Raw genomic sequence first — 13,619 nt, 5'->3', positions numbered from 1 at the left:
TCTATAGGTTAGCACCTCCTGTGCAGTGTCTACTGGCAACACACTCAGATTGTTTCTGATTAAAATTTTGAATACATTTGTTTGAAATTGTCCATTTTTACAAAAAAAAATTTTAATTGCTATATAATTCATCTATCTTAAATCTGCTATTAATGAATAGAAAATAAAAGAGAAGAACATTTTCATGAAATGATAATTAACCCAGGTAAAGGATTCAGAAGTTTCTGTCTATAACTGCAGTGGTTTGTCACCTCATACCACCATACCAGCTCTGTTTTCACTGCCCCTTCTTTTTTTTTTTTTTTTTTTTTTTTTTTTTTTTTTGAGGAGGAGTCTCACTCTGTCGCCCAGGCTGGAGTGCAGTGGCACGATCTCGGCTCACTGCAAGCTCTGCCTCCCGGGTTCACGCCATTCTCCTGCCTCAGCCTCCCAAGTAGCTGGGACTACAGGTGCCTGCCACCATGCCCGGCTAATTTTTTGTATTTTTAGTAGAGACGGGGTTTGTTTTCTTTCTCCTGCCTTAGGTTAAAAGAGATGAATTTCTTCCTCTAACTCATATATTTTTTAACAAGAGATTGGTTTAATAAAAAATGTTGATGCTCTAGAAAGATTGATATTTCTACCAACAAGTAAAGGGAATTTTTAAATATTTAAAATGTATGTAAGTGGTGCCCCTAGAAATGAGAGAGAAGAATGAAGCGGTCATTATATACTATCCAGTACACTCCTTGTTTGCAAACACAGAAGAGGTTAGTAAGAGGTTATCTTTGCTCTGAAAGGCAGTTTCTGTATAGGTTCCTCCGAGTGAAGATCAGAATGTTATCAGACACTGGCTGTAGCTCAGATGACACAGTAAAAAGGAAGTAGGGGCTAAATTTAGAAATTACATGAAAGCGTTTCAAAAATAAATATATAGCTAAGAACACATAAAAGAGGCAATATGCATTTTTATCTCCTTGAAAAAGCAATGCAAGTTGCTCAGTTTTTTTTTTTTTTTTTTAGTTATTTAAACATGGATTTGGTTTGATTTCATGACCATTGCTACATCACCAATCACTTTAGCTTTTCATGGGAAGCTCATCAGAATTCAAGCAGAAGAGCATGCGTGGATATGCTGTCTGGTAAAGTCTTCACGCACATGTATTTCCATATCTTAGACAAGGTTTTATTCAGGTTGTGGTCTTTGCCTGTTTTAAAAACTCAACATTGAGATTAATGCAATATAATGAAATTCGGCCTTTTCTAGAGAGAAAAAAAAACCTTTTCTATGTCACTTTAAGTCAACATGCTTCCAGTTGCAAAACAGTTATGGCTATAAAATAATCACTATAATTATTACATGTAACCCATATCTTGAGAATTTAAAATGGCATTTTCTTAAGATATAAAACTGATAGTGCTACAGCATGTTGGTAAGAACCGTAGAAATGATTGTTTTTGTAACAGATCCCCAAAGATCTTACACCCAAAAGCGTTGTTTTACTGAATACAAAAAAAGGGTTGTGTAAGGACATTTCACTATCATTCCTCCTGAGTCATATCTGAAGTACAAACCAAGGATTGTTTCTGTTTACTGACCCGTTAATGTGTGCCTATTACTATACTGTTTTGTATATATTATTACATTTAAACTTTATAACGGTGCTGTGACATAGTTATCATTACCTCATTGGAGGGATAAGGAAATTGAGGCTTGGAGAGATCCCAAAGCAAGTAAATGGGAACATGGTTTGATTCAATGTGTTTGACTCCAAAGCCGTAGGCCCTTATAACACTGTGCATATGACCACCCCTGACAACCCAAACCATGTGGTACCATTTGGCACTTAAGGCGTGCCTCAGTTCCCTTGTTTAGACTTGTGTGTGTTGGAACTCATAACACAAGCATCTAGGGCATAAATTAAAGGGATAATGGGGAAAGAACATCAGAAGATCCCAGGTGCACGTTTTTTAATGGATTCTAGCCAGGAAGCTGAGAAAATGCCCACTGGTAGGAGTCAGATTCAACATAATTCTCAGTTCTGTGGAGAGTTCACAAGCTTCCTTATCACACAAAGCACACAACAAGGACACCAGCGTTATGGGGAGTTGGGCCTGGGGGTAGGGTGCAAACTCAGATTATTTCAGGGTCAGGCAGGTAATGAGAAGCTGGCCAGGTTCTATTCTTTGCCATAGCATTGTTTGTTTTTGCATTATAGAACACAGAATATTTTTCACTTTCATAAAAATATATGTACTCTCTCATTATTCTTGACAATAGTGGGAAGCTATTGGCAGCCTTCTTAGCTACAGCCTGTTGTCCTCTTGGAATATGGATGCAGTGTTGCTGGGACTTCTAATTTGTCAAGAGAATTAGGACATCTGTTTTTGGGGTGTGTTTTTTGTTTTTGTTGTTTTTAATGCTAAAGCTCTTAATTTTAGATATTGACCCCTTTATAAAATTTTGCTGTATCAGGTAGATGTGCAGACTGTTATCTCACATTTAGGCCTCTTATATCTAACCCAAGTCTTCCCCATGCATAGGTTGATCATAAGTCCTAGTTTGCCTGAGATACTTGTGTTTGCACCTGTTGTCCCAGCCTCCCGCCTGTTTAGCATTTATTCCAGTTTTTTTATTTTTTTAATGAAGCATTCTTATTAATAGCTGCATTAAAATAATCCAGGATGTTTTTAACAGACATTCACTTTGTATTTCTAGATTCTGCCTTTGCAGTTAAACAGACTTCTCACTTTACACTTGGTTGAGTCTGATATCCCTTCCCAGATGCATTGTTAACTGCATCTCTCTTTCAAAGACAGCGTGTGGGCATTCCTGCTAATATGGAGTAAGCTGGGACAAAAGTGACTAGGGGCAGCCAAACTCTTCCAGTCTGAAAGATGGTGGAGAAGCATGTGGTGCTGCTGCCTTTACCGTCTGCTTGAATCAGCTAGTCATGCTATGGTCTGGCGTGTAGGCTGCCAGGTCCACGAAGACACCACACTTCTGTGAGTAGGGTCAGTGGGCAGTTGCTAGGTGTATGTGAAATGTGTGTGGAAAATGAAGGCTGAAGCAGTCTTACTGTGGAGGTATGAAAGATTTTGCTTTATCATTTATTGTTTGGTATAAATCTGTTGTATTGTTTGATAATGCTTTTATTTTGCAGCAGATCTTTTTGGCCATAATAAGTTTTTTTAGAAACTTGAAAATGCATGTTTAACAAAAAATTAAGTACTGTATTTTTGTTTCTAAAGAAAGTTGATAATGTGTAATTCATATAAAATTATTTATCAGTACTTAACATTCACCATTGTAGCCATGAATATAATCAACCACACAAAATACGAAAGACACAAATCTTCTGCTTCAAGAGTTCGCTGTTATTTTCAGAAGACTGTGCCCAAAGATGACATTTTAGCATGTGCAGCAGCAGAGAATGCATTTTTATATCACTCTGTGAAGCATGACTTTTTGTTTAGATCAAATGACTTTCTTTCCGAGTTAATTTAGCTCATTTTTATTCCAGGTTTTCTTATGCATGTACAAAAAAATGAAGCAATAGCAATTAATCTGTTAATTCTCTTAGCAGAAGAAAAACTTTGCAGGTAATTGATGGTTTGTTTTTTCTTCATTAATTCATGGAATCGAGATGAAGCTTTTAGAAGTTCATGCTGATAAAGTGAAATATCCAACATGGTTTTGATTGCTACAGTAAATGCTTTTGCTTCTTTAAAAAATTTTAAAAGTCATTGTTCAAAGTAATGTATTTTGTGGTAATGATACGAGTATAATTTTTCATGGAGCATAGTGTCATGGTAAAATACTGTATGTATTAAATTAATAAACTAGTGGACCAGAAATATTCTTAGAATAGTTATGGCTCACACATAAATCACAGTTGTATCCAAACAAGCTGCAATAATCTATTTATGAGTTTCATCTCCTAAACATATTTGTGAAATAATACTATTCTGAACTAATACCGAAAGATAGTTCTATGAAAATATTTGAACTGAGATATTTATGTCTTTCCATTTGAAAAACATAATAGAGTGAGATTACTTACCATTCAGCAGACCTTGTTCTAAGCTTACCAAGTATCTGAACCAACAAGAGAGGCCGTTTCTGAATTAAAACTATTAAGGTCTACCAAGAAGAGCATGGTTGAAAATGTTAACAGTTTCAAATTTATTGACCTAAAATAGTTAAGGCAATTTTTAAGAATGTTACAAACAATTCTATGAAATAGTTAAATACATAATATGTCAATATTGAAAAAATATAGTTCTCTGAAGGATGTTAGGGACATGATGTTAGAAAGAGATATGGCTAAGAACATGACTAAAGTACATGAAGGTACCAAGAAAAGTATTTCTGCTCATTTTTTACTTTAAAATCTACATTGATTTATCAAAAGTTTATATTTTAGGAAGATTTTATATTTTGAAAAATTTTTTAATGTGCACACTTCCTTGAATAATATCAATGTAATAAAATAGATTTGCTGGTCAATAAATACTTTAAAGACATACAACATTGATATGGTTTGGCTCTGTGTCCCCACCCAAACCTCATCTTAAATTGTAATCCCCACTTGTTGGGGGAAGGGCCTCATGGGAGGTGATTGAATCGTGGGGACAGATTTCCCCTTTGCTGTTCTCATGATAGTGAGTGAGTTCTCATGAGATCTGATCGTTTAAAAGTGTGTGGCACCTCCCGCTTCTCTGTCTCTCCTGCTCTACCACGGTAAGACGTGCTTGCTTCCCCTTCACCTTCCACCATGATTGTAAGTTTCCTGAGGCCTCCCATTCATGCTTCCTATACAGCCTGCAGAACCGTGAGTCAGTTAACCTCTTTTCTTCATAAATTATCCAGTCTCAGGTAGTTCTTTATAGCAGTGTGAGAACAGGTTAATACAAACATTAACTGTTTTGGTAGCCTTTTTAATACTCAAAAGTGTTAGTAGACTATAACTATATTATTATACTCTCAGTGGAAAGTTAACAGTTTCTCAGCAGTGGTCCAGGTAACTTTTTACACTTCTTATCTATAATATTTTCAAAATTTGGGTCTTTATTTAAAGTGACAAATTATATAACTTACTACAAAAAAACCAGGCCTTGTAGGATGTGAGTTATTTTCCTTCCCTTCTTCCTACTTAAATTCTAGGCCAGGCGTGGTGGCTCACGCCTGTAATCCCAGCACTTTGGGAGGCTGAGATGGGCAGATCATGAGGTCAGGAGATTGAGACCATCCTGGCTAACACGGTGAAACCCCATCTCTACTAAAAATACAAAAAATTAGCCGGGCGTTGTGGCAGACGCCTGTAGTCCCAGCTACTCAGGAGGCTGAGGCAGGAGAATGGCATGAACCCGGGAGGCGGAGCTTGCAGTGAGCCGAGATTTGCCACTGCACTCCAGCCTGCCAGCCTGGGTGACAGACCAAGACTCCTTCTCAAAGAAAAAAAAAAAAACAACTTCTAAATGCTTCATTACCGTTTTTCATAGGATAAAGAGGTATTGTTTTTGTTTCTTTATTTTTATTAATGGAACAGTTTCTGGCTCTGTTAAAGGGGCATTTAAGCAAGGTATTCTAAAAGCTCTATTCCTTCCCCAAGATTCTAGGAAAGTGAGCCTTTTACTTTCAGTTTTTCCTAACACAATTTCTTGAATGTCTGAAGCTTCAGTGGTCAGATTTCACATGGGATGTTCCAGAAAGATGATATTCCCTATGTAAGACTCTGAAATTCTTGGGAGCATTTGGGCCTTTTTTTTTTTTTTTTAATCAAAAAGCTTGTTCTTTTTATTTTTTCGCCTGTCTGAATTCTACCAACTGAACAGGGAAATCTTCTTTATCTGTTTTTCCTGTTGTCAAATAAAATAAAATTCCAAACCAGCAGCAACATACTCCTCTGGTTAATGAGATTGTAGGAGCACAGACATTACAAAGGACTAAAATGATTAGGCTTTTTCTGAGGTATAATATCAGGAAATGAACCACATAACATTATGTGATCTCAGAAATGAAGATGATATGAATCTATAAAGCAGGCATTTACCTATTATGCCAGGGTGGGGAGAAATCAGTCAATGAGTTGTTTTGTTGGTATAAAATCAACCTACAGTTGGTTGTTAGGGGTCTCAGTCTCTAGTCAGTGTTTTCAAAACATGATTTAATTCACCAACAGTCTCGTCAACAGATCTGGAGGCAAAAAAAGCTTCCATGGTCAAACAAGTTTGGAAAATTCAATAATATCCCCAATGCTAGGCTCATGGATTTATAGCACCTTTCTAGGTAAGGGCCATTGCCTTTTTATAACTTCTGTGTTCTGCAGCACAGACCTCTGTTTGACTATTTATAACCATTATTCTCCCCATTCTCTTACTTGGACTTCAGAATCCATTTGTCAAATACCTATTAACATTCCAATTAACTTAGTTTTCCATTAACTTAATTTTCCATTAATTAATGTTCCTCAGATATTCTTTGAAAGTAGTCATACAGACCATACCCTAATTGTTTTGAATTTTAATGAATATGCATATCTTTAATCTCTCTTTTCAATTTTTTTAAATCAACTGTGACTTTGTATAAACTCTCTGAAGATAAACTAGTTTTTTTGGTGGTATTAATAATGCATACATACATACACACACACACACACACACACACACACACACACCCATACTAGGATAGTACAACATCATAATTATGAAGATAATAGTAGAACTTCAGAGAGTGCAAAATTTTAAATTGTACCCCAAGATTTTATAGACCTGAAGGCAGTGTTCTTTGTAATGGAATTATGTAATTATATCAATCAACATACTCTGGAAGTGTTTGATGTAGGTTTTGCCATGCTGCATCAAGCATCTGACCTACAATGTCATTGATACTGATAATTATGACATTACAGACAAACATGAAAAAGGAAAATGTTAAGCAAAGAACCAAATAGAAGAATATTTACATGGAAAATGGTAGTGGTAGGGCCAAGAAAGAGATTGAGTTCTCTGAAAAGAAAAAAAAATATATTTTAAACAATAAAGGAGGGGTATTTCCTTTACCCAAGAAGGAATCCCCATTCTATGTTAGAATGAGCAAATAAAGCCTATAGGCCAGCAAAACCAAGAGGAGAATTGTAGTTCCAGCAAATGTTTTTTGGGAAAGACAGTATAACTATAGTCATTGATTATCTTGGTGACCATAATGGAGATTAAAAATAAAAATCTAATGATAGAAGAACAAACTTAATAATGAGTTAATAAATCAGTTTGTGAAGTCTTAATGAAAGGATATGTGGCAGTTTAATAAACTTTCTTCTCTAACATTGTAATCTAGAACATTGTATTTAACATACATTCTCTATTTTTCCTTTTCATCATTGTCTTGTGTATTGTCTAACACATGAGCGATAAATATTTGTTGAAATAATTATTAATGGTACTTTTGAGATACCACAAGATTTCATAGTAATTATAATATTTTGTACTAGGCATTTTAGAAACATCTCTTTTACTTTTCCTAACAGCCCTACAACAAATTGTTCCATCTTATAGATGAAGAAACTGAGGTTCAGGAAGGTTGAGTGACTTGTCTAAAGACACAGGGCTGGTACATGACAGAGTTATTATTGATACCTGATTTGGTCTCAGGCTGTTCAAGTTCTTCCTCTTTGCTACTGTGGTTCCCAGAATTACTAATTTGAGATTCAGTAGTCTCCATCTAATGCCAAGTTTAAGAAGGACATGGAAGCTTAGTAAAGGAGAATCAGTAGATCCTTACCACTTAAAGACTCCACACAGAAGATCTTTCGTTTTCATGAGGGGCTTCAAAAGGCTGTGTCATGTAGTAATTTCTAATTTTGCTGAGCCACATGTTGAATCATAAGTGTGGAGAGGCTGTTTTATGGGAGTGAATCACTCACAATGAGAACCCAGCCAGCAGCAGTTCAGTATGACTTTGCTGTTCTTTGTCATTTATGCAGTAATGCTCAGAAAAAGATAAAACAACAACTGTCACTCTGCATATAATGCACCTGAAAGGTCAGGGTTCAGGTTCTAATGAAGTCAGAAAACGTGAAACAGTCTGATAAATACAGTTCACGTCCAAGTTTTCTGCAGGAGATTTTATGCTAAGCAGTATTTGCAAATTTGAGAACTCAGAGATCTATTATCCAGTCAGGGCCTCCAGACTGTAATTTCACATTTGAGCAAATTTAGGCTTCAGTGACTTTCCCAATGTCACAAGAATCTAGTAGGTATTTGTACCATGGTTTATATTTTTTGTACTATTTTTCCTTTTTTTTTTTTTTTTTTTGCATTTTAAATAACTAGTAGCCTTAAGTGTCTGGCTCTTCTTCGAGTATTTTATATGCATTCTGTAATTTATCCCTCTAAAATAAGTGCTATGATTACCTCCATTTAATGGATTATGAGAGGGAGGTAATTAGGAAGCAGAGGTTGAGGATGTTAAATAGCTTGTACAAGATGACAGTCAGCTAGTACTGGGTGGAAGTGGAATTACAACACCAGCAGTCTTGTCTCAGCATCCATCATTTCACTCTGTACTTCCTTTGAGCAGAAGAAAACAAAACCAAAAAGGCTGAGGGTTTTTTTTTTTTTTCCACAGTCCATTTAGGAGTTGGTGATTTTTTTCTTTAGAGTCAAGTGCCAAAAGGAAATAAGCACTTAGAAAAAAAGTAGGAAGATGTGTGCTGCAGTTCAGAATTGAGATGAAGTCTGATGCTGGCTTGCACTTTTTCTGATTTTGAGGTCTTCTGTGTGTGTTGGGCATCCCTTCAGACAGAGCAGGCCTAATAAGCTGGATATTTGTGTCTAAGAGCTTCCACAAATGTGGAAGTTACCATTTGGCTTTCTACTTCTGGGTAGGTGTGACATTCCAGTCTAAAGCCGCCTTCAGCTGTTAATGAGATTTTGAAAATCCTTCCAAAGTGACTATGAGGTCTTTTTCATTTCACCTAAAGGCTTGGCCTGCTGTGGGCTGGGTAAGACCCACTTTGGTAGGACCTCAGTTCCTCCTTCCCTTTGCAGAAGCAAACATGGAAACATCAACACATCGAAGATTTACCTGAATTTTATGACGACTGAATCTGAAAACAAGACATTACCACATTGGCACATCTTGCGGTTTCCATGTGGTCTTTCCCTAGAATTCTGCCAGAGTTCCTGAGAGTAGCTACTTAGTTCTCACAATGTTCCCTCTAAGCCTTGCCACCAGCTTGCTAAGAATTCTGAAAGCTAGCATTCATCATTATTTCCACCCAGTATATTTTAACTGTAACTTAAAATGAAATAGAATTATATTTTACATTTTGTTTATGTGATTCATTAAATCATACTAGGTATTTTTGGGTGTTTTTTTTTTTTTTTTTTTTTTTTTTTGGAGAGATGGTATTTCTCTCTGTTACCTAGGCTGGAATGCCGTGGTGCTATCATAGCTCACTGTAACCTTGAACTCCTGGGCTCAAGTGATCCTGCTGCCTTAGCTTCCCAAGTAGCTGGGACTACAGGCACATACCACCACGCTCAGCTAATTTTTCTGTTTTTTATAGAGATGGGGTCTTGCCATGTTGCCCAGGCTGGTCTTGAACTCCTGGCCTCAAGTGATCCTTCTGCCTCTGCCTCCCAAAGTGCTAGGATTACAGGCATGAGCCAGCATGGCTGGCCCTCCCTTGCTTTTCTGTGCACAATGTTCAAAATAAACAAGATAGTCTGTTGTAATTGACTTGTTACTTGTAATATTTGAGGTGAGTTTTTTCCTTTTCATCATTGTCTTTTTCATTAATAATTGTTTAATTTAGCTTAACTACTTATAATTTTTACTACTATTTCACATTCGACATTTGGACAAATAGAAAAAAAGTATCTAATTTATCTTCCTACTCTAACATACTAGAAAATATTGTTTCCACATACAGAACTTTTTTTTTTTTTTTTTACAAAAAATTGAGAGTATTGCATTTCCATTGGGAACGTTTATATGCACAATTTTAAAAATCTGTATATATTTTGTAAAATGCTGTCATACTTTTAAATAACTTAGAGAATCTGAGATGAAAGCTCTTACATAAATGCAAATTATGGTTGATTATATTTGAATGTCATTTTCCAAAACAGCAAGGATGGAATGAAACAACAAAGCTTAGGAGGCAGTAAAAGTGACTTAGAAATTCCAACCTAGGTGAAGGCAACATGGTGATTGCTCTGTTTTTGAGGGCAATATTCTCTCTCAGTTTTGATGGAGGTTGACTTCTGAGTAACGGGTTTATAGCAGAGACAAATATAACTTACACTGTAGAGGTTAATTTGAATTCAGAGTCAACATGAAACTTTCTCACAAGACAGTTTTTTTTTGTTTTGTTTTTGTTTTTGTTTTTTTTGTTTTTTGCAGTCAAAAGAAAGTAGCTTCTTTTAACTGTGAACAGCAGTCACAGTTTTTAAAAAGTGCCATGTTTATTTTGTCCATGCTGCTTTTCCTTGGAGGGATCATTCATCTTCATCTTCACCCGCCAGCTAAATCCCACCTTCTCTCTGACACCTCGTTTGACCTCCTTGGTCCGTACACAGTTGCACTTAACACCATCCCCATGCAGCATCGCTCATGTGCGTATGTAACTGCATTCTGTTCTATATTCTCAGTTATTGTGTGACATAGTAAGTTCTTGTTTTGCTCAGTGGTACTGGGTGCTCCCAGAGGGACAGTGTCTTAACATTTTGGTGCTCTGTGCGTTGTAGATGTATTCATTATATATTTACAATCATACAGCTTATGGCTAGATGAGCTCTTTGGTGATTTGGTTTAATTGCCTTTTCTTATGAACACAGAAAATTAAGTTATAAAGAGGAAAAGTAGTTTCTCCTAAAGGTTATGACCAGTGTTATGGGTAAAGCCAGAATTAGAAGTTAGAATGCCTAATTTCTAGTGTAGTTCAGTTCCTCCCTCCCTCCCTCCCTCCTTCCCTTCCTTCCTTCTTTCCTTTGTTCCTTCCAACCAACCAACAAATATTTATTGAACATCTACCACTTGCCAGGCACCTTGCTAGGCCCTGATTATGCGGTGTTGAGCCTATCTTGGAACTTGGAACTTAAACCATGATTAGAGAGAAAGACAACAAATATTACACTGCCTAAGAGGCAGAGCACAGCAGTGGGGATTCATTGAGGAGCCAGTGATGCTCTGTTTTCAAAGGGCGAGTCTCAGAGGGGAACGATGATTGAGGTGGGCCCCACCTGGCGTGGGATTCAGGAACAGGACTCCAGGCTGGTAAGATTGTGGGTGGGAGAACACGGAAGATTGCCTACACAGGGACTCAGTACAGAAAGCAGCTACAGGGATTCATTTTCCAAAATCAGAATACCAGCAAGAGCTAGGGCTTCTCAGTTACTAGATCCGATTGTCACAGTCAGAACAGAACAAATAAGAAAGGTGATTTCTTCAGTCTTAGTGTGTTGAGCTTCCTAAAACCTTAAGTCAAGATTAGTCTATTGGCATGGGGCCCTTCTCACACAAGAGAAAGGAAGGAAGGTAAAGGCCTAACATGGATCACATTTATTAAAATTCTATCTGCTTAATACTCTTGTGAAATGAATAGTTTGGCCATGATGTCATCATGATAGCCATTCCCTAACCTTGTTTAGAAGTTTGTATTTCTATACAAAATCAGGATTGTTTCAGTAATTATCAGCCATCTGCCTCCAGTGTCCAACACAATTAGTTATTTGTGCTTAGTTGCATATTTATGTATATATACTTTGTGTGTGTATATATATATGTGTGTGTATATATATATATTGCATTCCATAAACCTTAGTTTGATTTGGATTGTTAGGCAGTCGTGTATTCCGGCTAATTTGAGGGTTGACCATAAAATATTTTCATTGCAATCTTATTTTTAAAACATTTTAATCTCTTTATCTCTTTCCTGCTAAATGAATATAGCCAAGTTATTTTACATTGTTAAAAAATTGAATAGGGCGTACTCAATCTGGTAATATAGATAAGGCAGATACAAAACAAATATTTTGAAAGTTTGGGTGCATAAGAGTGGAGGGGTAATTGTCATTGTTGTCCAGATTAAATTATTACTATTAATTGTTCTTCTAATGGTTTTACGCCCTGTCCTAAAAGTGAACTAGAGAAGCTAATCCTGATTAGTTGAGGATTCTGATTGAGTTTCTGCTTAGACATACAACACCCATAAGCTGGCTATATTATATGTTTGATTATAATAAACTATAAACATAGAGGGGATAATTACTCCTGCCTCCTTTTCTTTTAATAATAACATTTTAGGATTATGATAATATGTGAAAATAGTGGTATGTGTAAGCATAACATTCTTATTGTTTTGATGGGAGAGCTGAATACGCCACCTTCCTCTAGTTTCCTCTAATCAATTCTAAGTAGCATCAAGGTTTACTCTAGAGGGAAAGATTTGGGACTGAGTTCTCTCTAAGAAAAACAAAAAATATGAAACATGACTTTATTGTAAACCAGTGTAAAGACCAGTATATGAAGGAAGGTGTTACCTGAATTGTATATAATGTAATATGCAAAGCAAAGAAAATTTGGAAAGTAATAGGGTATTAAAACTGCCTTTTTTTATTTAAACAGGCTCATGCACAATTAGTTCGAGAAGTTGATGTGGAGAAGGTGTCTGCTTTTGAGAATCCATATGTAGATGCAATAAAGAGTTTATGGAATGATCCTGGAATCCAGGAATGCTATGATAGACGACGAGAATATCAATTATCTGACTCTACCAAATAGTGAGTATCTTTCCAGGTGGCCCTATGGATTTTTCTCTTTACTTCCATGTGGAGGTTTTATGATTATCATAACTTCTTTATTCTGTCCTGTATATGTCATATATGATTAAAACTTTAAAAGTTAGGGAATATAGATATTGAACTTATGCCAACCTCATAAATCTAAATTAGGTTATAAAGGACTGGTATCATGAGTCAGGGAGAATATTTCTTTTACTGTTTTCTGTTTGAAAAACAAACTGAAGACTCTAGGAATCTGATTTCACCAACCTGTCTCCTCCCCCAAATTGCAAACTAGCAATTCTCACATATGCCATTGTGATTTGAAATCTTGTAATAATAATTTTTGATAGAAAATCCAATCTTATTCATGTGCTAGAAAACACCTACACACATTAGAAACTGCAAACAAAAAATATGTTTGATTATGGCTTCTTAAAACATCAGACTTCCTGGTTTCCAGTTTTCAGACCCAGAACTTGACTGCTTTCTGAGAGCCACTATTATGTTGATGGATAGGTTTTCCTTTGCGTGAAAATTTCATGTGAGTCTAATTTTGCATACATTCCAGAATTATTTTGTGAGCTGTCAGTCAGACTCATGTCCTGGGAAAGATTTACATCCTAGAAATCTATTACTTCTCTAGAATTAAATCTCACCTAACAGAAAGGAAGTAAAGATTTGGCAATCATTGGATTAATGTGATCAATGTAGTCAGCAATGTAGATAACCAGGCACCTGAATAGTGAGTTTTCTTTTGGTGGTATTTAGCCAGGTTTCTGTGTACATTAGTTATATTAATACAGCATCTGCCTCTTGTTTTGGATCTGGGCAGACAGAAGAATGGGTGG

The 13,619-nt window shown here is 36.2% G+C and overlaps 1 protein-coding gene across 3 annotated transcripts in view; it reads left to right on the top strand.

Moving 5' to 3' along the window:
* Positions 1–13,619, top strand: part of GNAQ (G protein subunit alpha q) — a 315,715-nt gene that overhangs the window by 203,428 nt on the left and 98,668 nt on the right. For all 3 annotated transcript variants that reach the window (NM_002072.5, XM_047423239.1, XM_047423240.1), the window contains exon 3: positions 12,614–12,768. In NM_002072.5, coding sequence (NP_002063.2) covers positions 12,614–12,768 — 155 coding nt within the window. The remainder of the gene's footprint in view (positions 1–12,613; positions 12,769–13,619) is intronic.

The sequence above is a fragment of the Homo sapiens genome, chromosome 9 (assembly GCF_000001405.40).
Source record: "Homo sapiens chromosome 9, GRCh38.p14 Primary Assembly".
Classification (NCBI taxonomy): Eukaryota; Metazoa; Chordata; class Mammalia; order Primates; family Hominidae; genus Homo; species Homo sapiens.
This window is presented reverse-complemented; position numbering and strand designations above follow the sequence as displayed.